Genomic DNA, 19,299 nt, shown 5'->3' with positions numbered 1-19,299 from the left:
CATGAGCCACAATGTCTGGCCCAATATTTTAAAATAAAAAAAAAAACAAATACAACAACTAAGATTCCTATCTTTAAACTATAGAATTGAAATAAAAAATCTGAAAATCTTAAGCCATTGCTCACTATCAACAGCCATAGAGAGTTAATTCTTATTATTTAAATTAGTCTTACTGTCAGAAAGGCACTTATTAGCCAATCTGTTAAACAGCATGAGGTTACTACTGATTCAAGACAGACCAGTGTTGTAATACCATGACCCAATCTCTAATTTTATAGGTGAGGTAACTGAGGTGAGACAGGTTATGCAACATACTCAAGATGACCACACCCTGAAATCACCAGATGCAGAGCAGAGACTCTATTCCAGATATTTTGTTCGCAGTCTCCAATGTGTTCAATTATATCATGCTGCCCTCTAAATTCACTACTGTGGAACAACTGATTTAGCCAGGCTAGAACATATGAATTATTCTACATTAGTGAACTTCCCAGATCCCTGTAGCTTAACTCTGTAAATACCAATACTTTTTAAAGTTATCCATTCTTTTGCTAGAAACCTCTCTAAAGTGAAAAAGCACAACTCTAGGTTCCTTGGGTATTCCAGTGAAATGGCTCTGACATCCCTAATTATTTGCTTACATACCAGGTCATGTGCCTTATGAATACATTCCTGTTATGCTACTTGTCTTCCTTGTGTTTTGTTTTATTTTCATTTGTTTGTTTTAGAGATGGGATCTCACTATATTGCCTAGGCTGGATTCAAACTCCTGGGCTCGAGTGATCCCCTTTCTCAGGCCTCCTGAGCCCCTGGGACTACAGGCATGTGCTACAATGCCTGGCTTGTCTTCCTTGTGTTAATTTTAGACCCCTCAGTGAATTCCCCATCATATTTGTTTTTCTTCAATACCTACTTTATTTGGGGGAGAATGAAGAAAACAACAGCAACATGCTAGAGTTGTGGTAGATGTTGATGGATTTTAAATGGCAGAGAAAAAATGAATTATTTATTTTCCAGACTTTTAAAACACCATTTCTACCAACTACAGTACTATTTAGAGCCAATTTAGCTGCACAGACCTTTGGCCTCCACATTAAAAGGTCCAGGTTTCATTGCACATGCCATACTTTGAGGTTAGTCTTCATCTTGAACTTTGATATCAAATTAACTTTGAATGTTGTTATTTCCTAAGATATAATAGCATGGTTTCATATGTTATATTTTGGACAGACTGAGTTTTAAAAATGCAATTATTTTTCCTTTCATGTCTCTTGTAATGTTTTGAACAAACTTGAATGATGAAAGAGAATAAGAGATATCAGTAAAAAAATTAAAAAATATAAAAACAAAGGTCTGGGTTTCTTCACTTTTTTTGAGTTTCTGCTATCATTTCTTGCTGGTATCTCTATGTGTTATTATCAACTAATTTCCCTACCTTCAATATCCTATTCAGTTTATTTAAGCTTATAAAAAATATAGCAAAAAATAAAGAAACACCAAATGAAGATTTGAGGATCTCTCCTATTACCAGCTATATCAGCATGAACTCTGATTTAGCTATATGGGGTCTTTTTTTTGTTTTTGTTTGCTTCTGAGTTGTTGACAGTTCTGGTGTCTGGGTAACTGACCTGTAGAAAAGTCTGTAAAACTTATGAGATACTGTACTTCTCTTTAGGTCTATTCTATATGAATTCATATACAATGTCCTTAAAATGAAGTGTTTGCAATCAGCTTAGGGGCCCAAACTGAGCCAAAGTAAACCTCTGACACTCTAAATCAGTGCTTCTCAAACTTTAATTTAAATGTAAATCACCTAAAAATCTTGTGAAAAATGAAGATTGTGATCCAGTAAGTCTGAGGTTGGGCCCAAGATTCTGCATTGCCAGCAGATGATGCCAAATCTGCTGGCCCCCATACTACACCTTTAGTAGCAAGGATCTAGAACACATCCCTCTTTTTTTCTCTCCTATTTCTAAATTATCTCCTTCCTTTGCTTTTTCCTTTTCTTGCATTACCATTTTTCTTGCTTTAAGTCTGTCAATAGTAACCACAGTAACTACTTAGCCCTGTAGATAGTCCCTAAGAGTATGAAGGTTCCCCAATCTAAAACATAAGCTAGAAAAAAAAATCAGTGCAGAGGACGGGCACAGTGGCTCATGCCTGTAATCCCAGCACTTTGGGAGGCCGAGGCGGGCGGATCACCTGAGGTCGGGAGTTCAAGACCAGCCTGGCCAACATGATGAAACCCCGTCTCTACTAAAAATACAAAATTAGCTGGGTGTGGTGACAGGTGCTTGTAATCCCAGCTACTTGGGAGGCTGAGGCTGGAGAAGCACTTGAACCCAGGAGGCAGAGGTTGCAATGACTGGAGATCATACCATTGTACTCTGGCCTGGGTGACAAGAGCGAAACTCTGCCTCAAAAAAAAAAAAATTAGTGCAGAAAGGTCATAATACTACAATATTGTCATAAACCTTTTCTAAATATGACCAAAAATAATATAGTCAATAGACATGACATTATTTTTAGGATGTATTGTTATTTTTGTATATTTCTTAGCAATTAAATATTTTCCTTAGAAAATATTTCAAAAAAACTTATAATGTCACGTTTCTTAATAGGAAATCAAACGTTTTAGTCACGTTAAGATTCAATAACTGTTAAGATTCCAATGAACTGAACTGCTAATTATGAACAGAATGATGGTACTTGTACTAATCTTTATAACCTGTTAATGAATCTTTTTTTAGCCTACTCTAAAATTACAAGAAAATCTGCTACCAAGGATACCTAATCCTCAAAAGATGAGATTTATTTTTATTTTTATTTTTATTTTTTTGAGACAGGGTCTCTCTCTGTTACCCAGGCTGGAGGGCAGTGGCACGATCATGGCTCAATGCAGCCTCAACTTCCCAGGCTCAGGTGATCCTCCCACCTCAGCCTCCTGAGTAGCTGGGATGTAGCCTGTAGGCATGTGCCACCACGCCTGGCTAATTTTTGTTTGTTTGTTTGTTTGTAGAGACTGGGTTTTGCCATGTTACCCAGGCTGGTCTCAAACTCCTGGGCTCAAGCAATCTGCCCACCTCAGCCTCCCAAAACGCTGGGATTACAGGCGTGAGCTATCGTGCCCAGCCAAGAGATCAGCTTTCTAATGAACTAATTGGAACTATACATGCCTTACCATCCTACATAATTTTCACTTATAGTTGTATCACACCAGATTCTATCAAATGGTTCATAACTCTCACAGGAATTGCTAGATTTAGAATGAGTCCTTTAATATAATAAATGTTAGCATTTGTAACATACAGAAGTGTTTTTCTTCCAAAAAGACTCTAAGATCTTAATGTGCCTAATCAACAAGCAGTAGTCTCATTTTCCAGTGGGGAAACCTGAAGCACATCCAGATTACACAACCGAATGAACACAATGGAAACAGAATATGTAGCTTCTAACTTTAAAACCATCTTATAGTCATTATACACTATAGGTTGAACACTGCTAAACTTCCTTTACGTACAGGAATGAATTTTTTAAATCAAAATTATATAAAATAGCTGGCTTCTCAGTAACATTCAGAAATATGGTTTCTATATAACATTAGTCTCTTGACAATACAGTGAGCTACAGTGTAAGTGGAATCCACTTCTGTGGTGTAGTTTTCACACAAGGAAACTGAAGCAGATTAATTCCATTTCATCGAACCAGACAACAGTGCATTCTAGTGGTCAAAGGAGAGAATAATCAGAAATGTCTTTGGGACTCTGGACTAAAATTGAAACATCTAAAATCTAGAAGCTAAGAAGGAAATTTTACAAATACTATATGACTCCTTGCAGATTTAAAGAAAATTTGTATTCAAGATTAAAATAAAGACGTAAAAAAAGAAATTACCCAAAAGCTCCAGTCACCACTCCAATTATGTAAATTTGGCCCCTGTTTTTTAACTACCACATTATTCTCTTCCACAGTTGGACTAGGATTTTCCTCTACATCTTCCTGTAAGTCGGTGGCAAGGCTTGAATCCCCTTCATTCATCACCTGGAAACAAATATCAAACTAAGTCAATTATTTATTGAGAAATGGCCATTTTAAAAAGAAAAAAGTTAATGTTCACAACATATACATTAATTTTAAAAGGGCAATATTTAAATGTTTAGAAGACAGTAATAAATACGTTTTTGCTTCAATAGTTCATCTAGTTATATATTTATTTTTATTTTTTTTAAATTCTTATTTTATTTTCTTTAGAGACAGGGTCTCACTCTTTCACCCAGACTGGAGTGTAATGGCCCCATCATAGCTCACTGCAGCCTTCAACTCCTGGGCCAAAGCAATCCTCCTACCTCAGCCTCCAGAAATGCTGGGATTATAGGCATGAGCCACCTCACCCAGCCAAGTTCATACATTTATACATGCAACAAAGATTTTCCAACTACTATTATTTGCTAGGTAGTTTGGTTGGCACTAGGGATGCAAAGATGAATAAAACAAAGTCCTCCATCTCCAGAAGTGCACAGTCTGCTAGAGGAACAATAAATAATAAAAATACAATTTAATGGGAGTGTCCGTTTGTACAACTATTTTGGAGAACAATTTGCAATGCCCAGTAGGAAAGAAGATAGACATATACTGCAATGCAGCAATTTAATATACACATAGAGTCAAGAATGTTTGTTAATACTATGAAAGTGGAAATAACCTCACCGTCCATCAATAGAGAAATTAGTAAATAAGCTCTGATTTATACAAACAATGGAGTTTAAACAAACAAATAAGATGTGCCAGCTGTGCGAGGTGGCTCACGCCTGTAATCCCAACACTTTGGGATCACTTGAGGCCAGGAGTTCAAGACCAGCCTGGCCGATATAATGAAACCCTGTCTCTGCTAAAAATACAAAAAATTAGCCAGGCATGGTGGCCTGTAGTCCCAGCTACTCGGAAGCTGAGGCAGAAGAATTGCTTGAACCCAGGAGGAGGAGGTTGCAGTGAGCCGAGATCACACCACTGCATGCCAGCCTGGGTGACAGAGCCAGACTCTGTCTCAAAAAAATATGGGCCCATCGGGTAATTGCTCAAGTAAGATCACTCATCAGGCAGTTAAAAAAAGAAAAAAGCAAATATGGAATAGGGGAGTAAGGAGGAGTAGCCATTATAAAAGCATATGGGCCAGGCACAGTGACTCATGCCTATAATCCCAGCACTTTGGGAGGCTGAGGCAGGAGGACCTCTTGAGCCCAGGAGTTTGAGACCAGCCTGGGCAACATAGTGAGACCCCGTCTCTACAAAAAATATCAAAAAATTTGCCTGGCATGGTGGCATGCGCCTATTGTCCCAGTTGTTCAGGAGGCTGAGGTGGGAGGATTGCCTGAGCCTGGGAGGTCAAGACTGTAGTAAGCCATGATCAAGCTACAGCACTCCAGGCTGGCCGGCAAAGCAAAACCCTGTCTCAAACAAACAACAAGAACAAAAAAAAAAAAAAAAAAAAAAAAAACAGCTTATGGTGGACCAGGATCCTTAAATATCTCTGCTGCTGCTGCTCCACTTAAGCTTGAGGTTCTTTTTGTTTTGTTTTTTTTTTGAAACAGAGTCTCACTCTGTCGCCTAGGCTCGAGTGCAGTGGCGTGATCTCGGCTCACTGCAACCTCTACCTCCCGGGTTCAAGCGATTTTCCTGCCTCAGTCTCCCGAGTAGCTGGGATTACAAGCGTGCACCACCTCACCCGGCTAATTTTTGTATTTTTAGTAGAGATGGAGTTTCACCATGTTGGCCAGGCTGGTCACAAACTCCTGACCTCACGTGATCAGCCCACCTAAGCCTCCCAAAGTGCTAGGATTACAGGCGTGAGCCACTGCACCTGGCCAAACTTGAGGTTCTTAAACCCTATAAATAACCATTGCCATGGGGGAAGCCTCTAATCACAATGATACTGATTTGAGGCTCTCTAGAGAAAGAAATTTGTAAACATGAGAGGGTAGAGAAGACCTCCTCCACCTGAAGTATATCCAGTAACCTCCAAAAAGAGAGGGAGAAACCAACAAACCTGGATAGAAGGGGAGGAAACATACAACAGCAAAACAAAAACAAACAAAAAAAACTGAAACTGAAGTCCATAAACTGATCTAACAAAACATACAGAATTTAAAATAATTTACAGGATAAAAGATAAAAGACTGGCTTTTGTGCCTCTACAACATAGGTTCTAAGTTAACTTCAACATCAGCTAAAATGCGGCAATTGGCAAATCTTCATGGCTTTAATCAATATTGGGTCTCAAATTACAGTTATACCTAGAGTTCCCACTAAATTTAAACAAGGTATCCCCTACAATCTTAGGAGTTATTCAACATAAAATAGACAACAAATAGGTATGCCTCACTTTAACCATCAGAACTATACCTTTGCCTAAATACTCCACGATGGTGGTATACATTGCCCTGAAATATCCTATTGTGGCCATGGACACTCTGACACAATTAGTAATAAACTAAATTTAAATCAAGTCTTTAGAGCTTACAAATTGGCTTTCAAAGAAGTGGGACAACAGGCTGGGTATGTTGGCTCACACGTATAATCCCAACATTTTGGGAGACTGAGGCAGGAGGATCACTTCAGGCCAAGAGTATGGAGAACAAGCTGGGCAATACAGCAAGGCCCCCTCTCTACAAAAATTTAAAGATTAGCCTGGCATAGTGGTACACACATGTAGTCCTAGCTACTTGGGAGGCTGAGGTGGGAGGACTGCCAGAGTCCAAGAGTTGGAGATCACAGTAAGTTGTGATTGCACCATTGTGCTTCAGCCCAGGTGACAGAGCAAGACTCTGTCTCAAAATAAACAAAACAGTGAGACCCTATGGACCACCACTCTCAATGCCCAGTTAAAATTATACAACCCAATATAAAACAAAACAGGGCCTTCAAGGACTAAAACTTGTTATGTAAGACCTACTTCAGCCAGGCACGGTGGCTCACGCCATGCTGTAATCTCAGCACTTTGGGAGGGAAAGCCAGGTGGATCACGAGGTCAGGAGTTCAAGACCAGCCTGACCAACATGGTAAAACCCCATCTCAACTAAAACAAAATACAAAAATTAGCTGGGCGTGGTGGTACGTGCCTGTAATCCCAGCTACTTGGGAGGCTGAGGCAGGAGAATTGCTTGAACCCGGGAGGTGGAGGTTGCGGTGAGCTGAGATTGTGCCACTGCACTCCAGCCTGGGCGACAGAGCAAGACTCTGTCTCGCAAAAAAAAAAAAAAAAGAAAGAAAGAAAGAAGTACTTTGTGAAAGTAATTATCCCTACTGCTTCTCCATTTAACAGCCCAATTTGGCCTGTTAAATTTGGTAAGAATGAATGGTACCTCATGGTTCATTACTGCATCCTCGATGATGTCATTTTACCCAGGAAGGCCCCTATACTCAACATTGTTGAAATTACTGACTATCCAGTCCACAACTAGTAAATATTTTGCTGTGATAGATTTGGCTAATATGTTCTGTTCAGTGTCTCTTTCAACACCTCCTCAGCCATAGTTGGTCTTCACCTCCAGAGAGACATAACATCTCTTTACCAGGCTAACCATAGAGTACGCAGTCTTGCCATCATACACAGCCTTTACAGGAAAGATCTTAACTGCATCAAATTTTCTCCAGGAGCACAAGTATAACATTCCATTGATGACATCCTCCCCTGAGGACAGTCTTTTGACATACTCACAAAGGAGCTCACAAAAGGAGGATGGGCTATTGTGCCACACATAGTGTAAGGCCTACCACCTTGGTTAAATTTCTGAAAATAATTTGGTCTCTGTCACCCAGGCTGGAGTGCAATGGCACAAACAGGGGTCACTGCAGTCTCAACCTCCTGTGCTCAAGTGATCTTCCTATCTCAGCCTCCCAAATAGCTAGGACCACAGGCGCCACACAACCATGCCCAGTTAATTTTTCTTTCTTTTTTTTTTTTATTTTGGTAGATACAGGGTCTTGCTTTGTTGCCCAGGCTGGTCTCAAATTCCTGTCCTCAAGCGATACTTCTTTCTGCCTTGGCCTCCCAAAGTGCTAGAATTACAGGCATGAGCCACTGCACTGGGCCACAATGGCTGACTTAAATTCAAATTCAAATTCAAATGGTGCAGGTCAGTCATCAAACATCAAGGGTGAAAAAAAGACCTGGAGCCAGTTTTTTCCTGAGGCTCTCTTAAGCCATTTTAGTGCTGCTTGAGAGGCCTGCCTTGCTCTCCCTGGAGACCTTAATTATGTAAGTAAAAGACTTTTTCAGGGCCGGGCGCGGTGGTGGCTCAAGCCTGTTATCCCAGTACTTTGGGAGGCCGAGGCGGGCGGATCATGAGGTCAGGAGTTCAAGACCATCCTGGCTAACACGGTGAAACCCCGTCTCTACTAAAAACACAAAAAATTAGCCGGGCGTGGTGGCGGGCGCCTGTAGTTCCAGCTACTGGGGAGTCTGAGGCAGAAGAATGGCGTGAACCCGGGAGGCAGAGCTTGCAGTGAGCCGAGATTGCGCCACTGCACTCCAACCTCAGGGTGTGTGTGTGGCATCATCAGTTTCTACTCCAACCTCATGGTGTGTGTGTGGCATCATCAGTTTCTACACCTGAATCAAATTTGGGATGGGGGTCCATTCTGGCTTTCTGGGGTGGCTACAGTAGATTCCTGTCTCTCTGACTTATTAGCTGTGTGGTCCTTAGCAAAGTCAATCTCTGTACATCTGTTCCTTAACTCTACAATAGAGGAAATAATTTTATCTCTAGTCTAGACAATAAGCTTATTGAGAGCAGGGATCATGTCTGTGTTAATCACCATCTAATCCCGAACACCCAGTGCCAGGGACATAACTGAATCAGTGACTGATTGGGTTCATGAATATCCAGCTTGACTATTTCATAGTAATGTTTTTCAAATCAAGTGAAATAACACTCATTCATCTGTTCATTCAACAATTATTTGTGTACCTCCACTAATCTGTAAACTATAACGCTCTTCAGAAGATATAGCACTGACCGCAGTTCTCTAAAAGTAAAATACATACACACAAACCAATGTAGAAGGAGGATGGTGTTCAGAAACGCAGGCGCCCGTCCAACAAAAGCGGGGTTTCATCCTGAATATTAATAAGCACGCTTTCCGTTTTGTCAAATAAGGTAGTAAACAAATAAAACTAGACTAGTTGAAATCAAAAACTTGGCTGACAGCACAGTGATTTAAACTATCCGGACCTTTACAACAGGGCTGAGAATGAAAGGAAGGGGGCAAGGCTGGAAAAAACGTTGACAGTGGGTCAGAATCACGACCATGGGGCCTGACCCAAGGGGGCCTGGGGCTGAGACATCCGCACCAGGACATTTCGGGACCAAATTCAAGCCCTCAACGCCCACAGGGAAGCAAATGTCCCCACCACCGCCCGTAGGGAAAGGGCTCGCAGAGGCACAGGAAACCGTTTCCTCGGTAACAACTTTCCGTATTACTCCAAAGAGCACGAAGAAAAGGGAAGGGAGGGATTAACTGTAATCTGAGAAGGTTCAAGCAATCACCGTGAGAAAAAGTAGGCTAAAGCCACAGATGGGAACCTGCCCCAGCGAGGCCCGCGGCTTACCTGACGGACAGTCGGAGCGCCCTCCATCGCGGCTCCCTCCGCCGCCGCGGCACCGCCCCGCGCGCACCGCACCGCACCGCCCCGCGCCCACCTCCAGCGCGCGCTGCGAGTTACAGGCTCCGCGCGCCTCCTCCGCCGGCCCTCCGAGTACTTCCAGCCGCAGCTCCTTGCGCCCTCTGGCGGCCGTGAAGGATTCCTGACGATGGGTGTTACCGGGTTAGCCTGAAGGCTTGTCTTTCTAGGGGTCACAATGAGACTTCCCTATTCCCAACCTCAAACTACTGTGCCTCCCAGGAAATGGCATACCCTGCCCCAATGTGCGAAAAGGTGAATTGCTCGGAAACTTTTTTTTTTTTTTTTTGAGACGGAGTTTCGCTCTCATTCCTCAGGCTGGATGGAGTGCCAAGGCCCCGTCTCGGCTAACTGCAACCTCCGCCTCCCAGTTCAAGCGATTCTCCTGCCTCAGCCTCCCGAGTAGCTGTGGTTACAGGCGCCTGCCACCACGCCCGGATAATTTTTGTATTTTTAGTAGAGACAAGGTTTCACCATGTGGGTCAGGCTGGTCTCGAACTCCCCACCTCAGGCAATCCGCTGGCCTTGGCCTCCCAAAGTGCTGGGATTACAGGCGTCAGCCACCGCCCCCGGCCAGGAAACTCTTGTTCCTTCCAATAAAGGATTGAAGTTACTGATTAACTGCTGTACGTATTGCAGATTCTTGGTTCTGTAAACCAAAAATAAAATGCCGAGGCCCACCCCCAGCCATCTAAATGGACCCCTCCTCTTGGCCAAGAGCGTTCCAAATTTAACCTGAAAATCTAGTTCAGGCCATGATGAAAGAGGGGATTGGACATGCCTCATTAACATCAACACAGACCTTAAGTCTGAGAAGAAATATTTATCATCTATTGCCTCGGACACCTGCTACTTGGAGGCTGCATCTGCATGATAAAACCTTGGTATCCACAACCCCTTATCCTAACCCAGACATTCCTTTCTACTGATAATAACTCTTTTTTCTCTTTTTCTTTTGAGACAGGTTCTGGCTCTATTAGACCAGCTGGAGTGCGGTGGCGCAATCTCTGCTCACTGCAACCTCCACCTCCCGGACTCAACCAATCCTCCCACCTCAGCCTCTCGAGTAGCTGGGACTACTGGCGTGTGCCACCATGCTTAACTACTTTGTTTGTTTGTTTGTTTGTTTGTTTGTTTGTTTTTTGAGACAGGGTTTCGCCATGTTGCCCAGACTGGTCTCGAACTCCTGGACTCAAGCAGTCTGCCCCCTTCGGCCTCCCAAAGTGCTGGGATTACACGTGCAAGCCACAGCTCCCAGTCAATAATAACGCTTTCAACCAATTGCAAATCAGAAAATTTTTTTATGTACCAATGACCTGAAAGTTCCTCCTTCTCGCCTTGGAGCTGTCTCCCCTTCCAGATTGAAACAATGTAAATCTTACATGTATTGATTGATGTATTAGGTCTGCCCAAAATATATAAAAGCAAGCTGTACCCCAACCACCTTGGACACATGTCATTGGGACTTCCTGAGACTGTGTCACAGGTGTGTCCTTAACCTTCACAAAATAAATTTTCTAAATTAACTGAGGCCTGTCTCAGATATTTGGGGTTCAGAGTTCCCAACCAAACAGCTATAAAAAAGACATTCTAAGCCAGGCACAGTGGCTAACTCATGTAATTCCAGCACTTTGGGAGACTAAGGTGGGAGGGTTGCTTGTGTCCAGGAGTTCAAGACCAGCCTGGGCAAAACAGGGGGGCCCCATCTCCAGAAAAGAGAGACAGAGAGAGAGAAAGAAAGAGAGAGAGAGGGAAGGAAGGAAGGAAGGAAAGAAGGAAGGAAGGGAGGGAGGGAAGACATTCTAGAACAATTGAGGAATAGTGAATATGAAATGGCTATTAGAGTTGATGTTACAGGATAATTAATGATTTATGTATACATTTATGGATATTCATTTATGGATAATTAATAATTTTTGGCAGCTGGGCGTGGTGGCTCAAGCCTGTAATCCCAGCACTTTGGGAGGCTGAGGTGGGAGGATCACCTGAGGTCAGGAGTTTGAGACCAACCTGGCCAACATGGTGAAACCCTGTCTCTACTAAAAATACAAAAATTAGTCGGGCGTGATGGTGAGCACCTGTAATCTCAGCTACTTGGGAGGCTGAGGCAGGAGAATCGCTTGAACCTGGAAAGTGGAGGCTGCAGGGAGCCGAGATCAGGCCATTGCACTCCAGCCTGGGCAAGAAGAGTGAAACTCCGTCTCAAATAATAATAATAAATAATAATAATAATAATAACTTGTGGCTATGTTGCAGGGTGTCTTTAATATTAGAAAACTCACACTAAAATATTTAGGAGTTCCCTGTTATCCATGGGGATGTAAAAAAAAAAAAGTATTTAGGAGTGAAGTAGCACCATGTCTGCAACTTGCTTCCAAATGCTTCCACGAAGATGAATACACAGAGAAAACAAAATAGCGAAACGTTAATTATTGGACCTAAGTGGAGGGTATACTACTATTCAGTTATTCTTTTACTGTTTACATATATTTAAAAATCATAATGTAAAGTTGAAGAGATGGAAAGGAGTTGAATCCAGTTCCACAAAATGTCAGACACTGAGTGTATTTCTTTTTTGTTTTGTTTTGTTTTTGTTTTTTTGAGACAGAGTCTCGTTCTGTCCCCCAGACTGGAGTGCAGTGGCACAATCTTGACTCACTGTAACCTCTGCCTCCCAGGTTTAAGCAATTCTCCTGCCTCAGCCTCCTGAGTAGCTGGGACTACAGGCGCCCACCACCATGCCCGGCTAATTTTTGTATTTTTAGTAGAGATGGGCTTTCACCATGTTGGCCAGGCTGGTCTCAAATTCCTGGCCTCAAGTGATCCACCCGCCACAACCTCCCAAAGTGCTGAGATTACAGGCGTGAGCCACTGCACCTGGCCATGAGCATATTTCTTAAATATATATGACATACTAAAGGACAAATTACTTAATAAGATAATCAGTAAAAGACAGGTTTCCATCCTCATTCTGCAAAACTTTGCATAAACTGTGTTCTGTTAAACATAAAAAACGTCACAGAACACTAATATTAAGCAAGGCCACTGTATGATCATGATAGAGTAAGACAAAAAGAAGGCCACTGGGTAATCATGTCTAAACACAGACAAAAATGTGAACATCGTTCGAAACACAGAAATGACTATGTCCCTATGCTGACTAATATGACTGACTGCTGCCTTTTTCCCAATAACAGCTTTAGCTTCACTTTATTCCACCTACCTTCTAGATAAGATGTATTAAGATACCCAATCAGAATAACCACATCTTATTGACAATATGTAATCTGGGACAAAGCTCCACTTCTTGAATCCTCCTCGCAAAATCACTGAACACAAACCCAAATCCTGTAGTAAGACCTTTCTAACACCCTTTCACTGAGATGTCCTCATGGTTCTCCATGGTATTTTTTCACCCTCATTGCAATGAGTCAATAAACACAATGTTGTCTAACTACAGCTATGGTTCTCCTGGACTTTGGCTGAAGAGCATTGATATATTTTGCAGTGAAATAGAACATAAGGTGAAAGTGAATATGGAAGAAAAGTTGTTAGAAGTTTGAAGAGAAAGGAGAAATTATGAAATACTTAGGAGCACAGGTGAATGAACTGACTAATGTTTTAGGAAAACAGTAAAACAGTAGCATTGCTGGGCAACACAAATGCCTCATTGAGATTAATGGTCATGTATTTAAAGTGAGATCACACTAATATGTAAACAGCTCCCAGAAATCCCTGCTTACCACAATCAGGGGAATGCTTAATTAGGAGATTAATGGTCATGTATTTAAAGTGAGATCACACTAATATGTAAACAGCTCCCAGAAAAACATATGGAAAAACCATAGTCAAGTTAAAATTGTTAAAGTATATGTCAGAAAGTTCATGGAAAAGGAAATATCAGTGTCTTTTTTTTTTTTTTTTTGAGACGGAGTTTCACTTTTGTCACCAGGCTAGAGTGCAATGGCACGACCTCAGTTCACTGCAAACTCCACCTCCTGTGTTCAAGCGATTCTCCTGTCCCAGCCTCTGGAGTAGCTGGGATAACAGGTGCCCACCACCACGCCCAGCTAATTTTTTTTTTTTTTTTTTTAGTAGAGACAGAGTTTCACCATGCTGATCAGGCTCGTCTCGAACTCCTGACCTCATGATCCACCCTCCTTGGGCTTCCAAAGTGCTGGGATTACAGGTGTAAGCCACCGTGCCTGGGCAAATGTCTCTTAAAAATATAAAAGATCCTCAGTTTCACTCAGAATAGCATAGAAATTAAAACCACACTGAAATACTATTTTTCACTTACTAGTTTGACAAAAAGTACAGAAATTTGAAAACGCATTCTGCTGACAAGACCGTGGGGATACAGGACTCTTATAATGGAAGTGTAGAGGCTGGGTGCGGTGGCTCATGCCTGTAATCCCAGCACTTCAGGAGACCAAGGCAGGTGGATCCTTTGAGGTCAGGAGTTCGAGACCAGCCTGACCATCATGGTGAAACCCTGTCTCTACTAAAATGCAAAAATTAGCCAGGCGTGGTGGCAGGCGCCTGTAATCCCAGCTACTTGGGAGGCTGAGGCAGGAAAATCGCTTGAACCCAGGAGGCGGAAGTTGCAGTGAGCCAAGATTGCACCACTACACTCCAGCCTGGGTGACAGGGTGAGACTCTGTCTCAAAATAATAATAATAATAATGGAGGTGTAAAGTAATATAGCGAATTTGGCAATAGCTTCAAAAATTACAAAATGCATATACTCTTCAGCAGTACCAACTTCTGCAATTTTTCCTATAGATTTAATTGCACACATGCAAAATAATCCAAAGTTATTCCTAGAAGAATAGTTGGTAGTAAAAATTGAAAACAAATCATCATCAATAAAGGACTGGTTAAATAAATGACAAACCTCCATCCATTAGAATTTGGAATTCTGTGCAGTTTCATAATAATTTTTAAAAGAATGAGGAGGAGCAACATCAACGAAAATGGCAGAGTGGGGAACTTCAAAAGTCTGTACTTCCACAAAAGCAACAAAAAAGGTGGCAAGAGCTGTCAGAAACAATTTATTTGGAAATCTGGAATGTCACCAAAACCTTACCACAATCAGGGGAATGCTTAATTAAGAAAAAACAGCTGAGTCTCAGTAAAAGACTTTTGTGACATTTTATTTTAACTTACCCTGGTACCATCCCCTACTCTACAATAGCCCACATTCCTGGTACTGATTCGTAGTATCAGAGGTAGCAGTACAGACCTTATTCTCGAAGAATTGTTATCTGTTTGCTTTGACCTGTTTGGTGGCTCCCTGAAGGCTCAAGGACTTGTTTGCCTTATTTTATCTCAGAACTCTTCCAAGGGTAGGACACCTGCCTTGGGCAGGTGTTGGTGGGGGAATGTTGGTAGAGGGGGCAGGTAGAGTATTTATTGAAAACATTTGGGCCGGGCATGGTGGCTCACGCCTGTAATCTCAGCACTTTGGAAGGCTGAGGGGGCAGATCACCTGAGGTTGGGAGTTCGAGACCAGCCTGACCAACATGGAGAAACCCCATCTCTACTAAAAATACAAAAATTAGCTGGGCGTGGTGGTACAAGCCTGTAATCCCAGCTACTTGGGAGGCTGAGGCAGGAGAATTGCTTGAACCCAGGAGGCAGAGGTTGCAGTGAGCCAAGACAGCACTATTGCACTCCAGCCTGGGAAACAAGAGCAAAACTCGTCACACACACACACGCACACACACAAAAAAAAAAAAAAAGAAAGAAAGAAAGAAAGAAAAGAAAAGAAAAAATTTGAAGGCAAATATATTACCAGTATCACTTGGGGCAAGGGATAACAGTTCAGGCAAACAATGGACAATCTGAATAAGGGCTTTGAAAAACTCTCACAAATTCCTGGGAATCCAGAAGGCCACATCCATGCCCAAAGCTGGGAACATGCTCAGAAAAGACCTAAGAAGGCCCTAAACTTCCACCTCTGGCTGACTTTTTGCTCGGCTAAGGCAGAGATATAAACTGCCTGGCTGGGTGTTACAGGCATACCCAGCACACACAGAAAGCCAGTCTGCAAAGACTGGAAGATAATTGCTTGTTTCTGTATGTATTTTTCTTCCTCGGTTTTTATTTTTTTCTAATCTGACAGAACAGAGACTTATGTGGCCACATAAAACAAAGAATACAAACTTTACAAAATTAGTTTGACTTGTATGAGGTACCTAGAGTAGTCAAATTCATAGAGAAAGGAAGTAGAATGGTGGTTTCCAGGGGCTATGAAGAGGGCAGAATGGGGCTTTATTTAACTGGTTCAAAGTTTCAGTTTGGGGTGAAGAAAAAGTTCTGGAGATGTGATCATTACACAATATAAATGCACGTAATGTCACTGAACCATACTTGAAATGGATAAAATGGTTAATTTTATCTTGTGTATATTTTACCATAACATAAAAAAGTAGTTTATAAAAGATACTAACAAACCACAAATAAATGCTAAAATAAGCAGCAACAGTAAAACCTGGGGAGGTGTACAACCTGATTTTCAAAGTTGCTGCATTATGCCAGGCACAGTGGCTCATGCCTGTAATCCCAGCACTTTGGGAGGCTGAGGCAGGTGGATCACCTGAGGTCAGGAGTTCAAGACCAACCGGGCCAACATGGTGAAACCCTATCTCTACTAAAAACACAAAAATTAGCCAGGCCTGGTGGTGGGTGCCTGTAGTTCGTGAGGCTGAGGCACGAGACTCTCTTGAACTGGGGAAATGGAGGCTGCAATGAATCGAGATCACACCACTGCACACTGCACTCCAGCCTGAGCGACAGAGTAAGACTCTGTCTCAAAAAAAACAAAGTTGCTGCATTATAATATTCAAAATGTCCAGTTTTCAACAAAAAATTATAAGGTACACAAAGAAACAAGACAGTTTGACCCATATACAGAGAAAAATAATAGAAACAGCCCCTAATGAAGCCTGAGCATTAGGCAAACAAAACTTTAAATCAACTATTTCATATATGCTCAAAGAGCTAAAAGAAATCAAATTCAAAAGAGACCCATGAGAACAATGTCTCACCTAATGAAGAATATCAATAAAGAGATATAAATTACAAAAGGAACCACATAGAAACTCTGGAGCTGAAAAATACAATAACTGAAATGAGAAATTCACTAGAGTAATTCAAATAGACTTGAGCAGACAGAGGAACAAATCAGCAACTTGAAGGTGGGTCAATTGGGATTATTCAGTCTGAGGAGCAGAAAGAAAAAAAAGTGAAGAAAAATGAACAGAACCCATAAGACCTGTAAGACACTGCCAAGTAGACCAACATATACAAAATGGGAATTCCAGGAGAGAAGAAAGAAAGAATATTTGAAGAAGTAATGGCCAAGAAAGAATGAGGAAACTCTTTATGCACTGATATATAAAGATCTACAAAAAATTTTGTCACATTAAAAAAAAGTAAGGTGCAAAACAATATACAGTGCCAAAAATGCATACTCTGAATCTAATTGTGAGGAAACAGACAAACTGAAATTGAGGGACATTACTTGAACTCTTCAAAAACATCAAACTCATAAAAGGCAAAGAAAGACTGAAGTGTTCTTTCATACTAAAGAACACTAAAGATATATAGCAACTAAATACAATGTGCGATTTTGTCTTGGATCCTGAACCAGAAACATTTTGTTGTTGTTGTTGTTATAAAGAACATTACTGGGACAACTGGAAAACTTTGAATAAAGTGTAGGTTACATTATAGTATTGACTCAGTGTTAATTTCCTGTTTTTGTTTTTTGAGACAGAGTCTTGCTCTGTCACCCAGGCTGGAGTGCAGTGGTGCGATCTCAGCTCACTGCAACCTCTGCCTCTTGGGTTCAAGCAATTCTCCTGTCTCATGCTCCGGAGTAGTCTCAAGTGCATACCATCATGCCAGGCCAATTTTTGTATTTTTAGTAGAGATGGGGTTTTTACAGGTCACCCTGGCCTCGAATTCCTAACCTCAGGTGACCCACCCGCCTTGGCCTCCCAAAGTGCTGGGATTACGGGCATGAGTCACCATGCCCATACAATTTCCTGTTTGTTATAATTGTACTATGGTTAGGTATGGGGATGTGCTTGTTTTAGGAAGTGCAGTCATGCATTGCATAACAATGTGTCAGTCACTGCATTCAACAGTGAACCACAAGAAAACAGTGGTCCCATAAGATTATAGTACAATATTTTTACTGTACTTTTTCTATGTTTGGATACACAAATACTTCTCATTGTGTTACAGCTGTCTTCAGTATTCAGCATGGTAACATGCTGTCCAGGTTTATAGCTCAGGAGCAATAGGCTATTCCATATAGCCTAAGTGTGTAGTAGTAATACAGGAGATAGAATTTAGGCAGATAGTAAGGGTAAGAGTCCTCGGTGGAACTCCCCTTTTAACAAAAAGCAGCCACCAAAACATTTCTTTTCTAACAAAGAGCAGCCTGAAAAATCAAGCCGCAAACATAGATAAGCAAGCTAAAAAGCTTGCACAGGTGAATGCCAGCCTCAGTGCCAATAGAAAAGGGCTACCTGGATGCCAGGCATGTTCAACAGGGAGGGTCCTCTTCTCTTTTCTTTGTCACCACGTGTACAGTAAAGAGGCAGGCAACATGGTGCCTGGCCATGTAGAGAACCCATCTCCATAATAAAAGATTAGGGTGGAGTGGCCAGCTTCTTTGCATGCTGTGCAAACCGCACACCTAGTCCTAACCAGTTCTTCGTGTGCTATGCAAATGACACACCTGGTCCGACCAATCTTTTGTGCCCTATATAAATCAGATACCACCTCCCCAAGATCATCTATTCAACCTTCTGCATTTCACCATGGAAGCAGCAACCCATATTCTCTGGGGCCCCTCTCTCTGCAGCAGAGAGAGCTTTTCTCTTTATTTCGCCTATTAAACTTCTGCTCTGAACCTCACCCTGGTTTGTCTGCGTCCTTGTTTTCCATGACCGTGGGACAACGAACCTCAGGTATTACCCCAGACAACAACATCACCTCAGTAGGCTCTACCATTTAGATTTCTTTAAGTACATTCTAGGATGTTGGCACAACAGCAAAATTGCCTAATGACGCATTTCTCAGAACATATCCCAGTTGTTAAGTGACGTATGACTTTGTACACTGATATATTTGATCTAGCTCACCCAAATGTTTCAGAAAAAAAAATTGTGTGCCAAGAGAGAATAATAAATAAAGCAAACATGAAAATCTGAGTAAAAGTTTTATGGGAAGCCTTTGCACTATTCTTGCAACTTTCTTATTTCAAGTAATTAAAAACTATTATAACTCAATAAATAAAGTGAAACCACCCTCCACAGTTGTGTCATTTTTTTTTTGTAGTTGCACAAATGCAAACACAGAATGGACACAGTTGGATTTAGTTGGAGGTTTTGGAGGGTTTCTTGAGACAGGGTCTCTCTCTATTACCCAAGCTAAAGTGTAGTGGCATGATCACTGTTCACTGCAGTCTTAACCTTCTGGACTCAAGTGATCCACCTCAGCCTTCCAAGTACCTGGGGCCACAGGCCCACACCACCCCATCCAGCTAGGTTTTGGGGAGTTTTGTTTGTTTGTTTGTTTGTTTGTTTTGTACAGACTGGGCC

The 19,299-nt window shown here is 41.7% G+C and overlaps 1 protein-coding gene across 3 annotated transcripts in view, besides 2 other annotated features; it reads right to left on the bottom strand.

Annotated features, from left to right (window-relative positions):
* Positions 1–19,299, bottom strand: part of GRAMD1C (GRAM domain containing 1C) — a 118,983-nt gene that overhangs the window by 98,631 nt on the left and 1,053 nt on the right. For 2 of the 3 annotated variants that reach the window (NM_017577.5, XM_005247547.3), the window contains exons 1-2: positions 9,608–9,756; positions 3,895–4,041 (exon numbers count right to left, since the gene is read on the bottom strand). In NM_017577.5, coding sequence (NP_060047.3) covers positions 3,895–4,041; positions 9,608–9,634 — 174 coding nt within the window. In that variant the 5' untranslated portion in view covers positions 9,635–9,756. Of the gene's footprint in view, positions 1–3,894; positions 4,042–9,607; positions 9,757–19,299 lie in introns of those variants that run through there. The other variant, XM_011512930.2, reaches the window with a different exon arrangement.
* Positions 9,544–9,743: a silencer, noted in NCBI's record as "silent region_14611". NCBI's record gives its function as "represses an Ori minimal core promoter by ATAC-STARR-seq in GM12878 lymphoblastoid cells {active_cell/tissue: GM12878}" and the evidence as "EXISTENCE:reporter gene assay evidence [ECO:0000049][PMID:35858748]".
* Positions 17,497–17,646: an enhancer, noted in NCBI's record as "active region_20263". NCBI's record gives its function as "activates an Ori minimal core promoter by ATAC-STARR-seq in GM12878 lymphoblastoid cells {active_cell/tissue: GM12878}" and the evidence as "EXISTENCE:reporter gene assay evidence [ECO:0000049][PMID:35858748]".

This window comes from Homo sapiens, chromosome 3 (genome assembly GCF_000001405.40).
Source record: "Homo sapiens chromosome 3, GRCh38.p14 Primary Assembly".
In the NCBI taxonomy this organism is placed as follows: Eukaryota; Metazoa; Chordata; class Mammalia; order Primates; family Hominidae; genus Homo; species Homo sapiens.
Note: the sequence above shows the minus strand (reverse complement) of the source record. Positions and strands in the feature narration are given on the sequence as shown.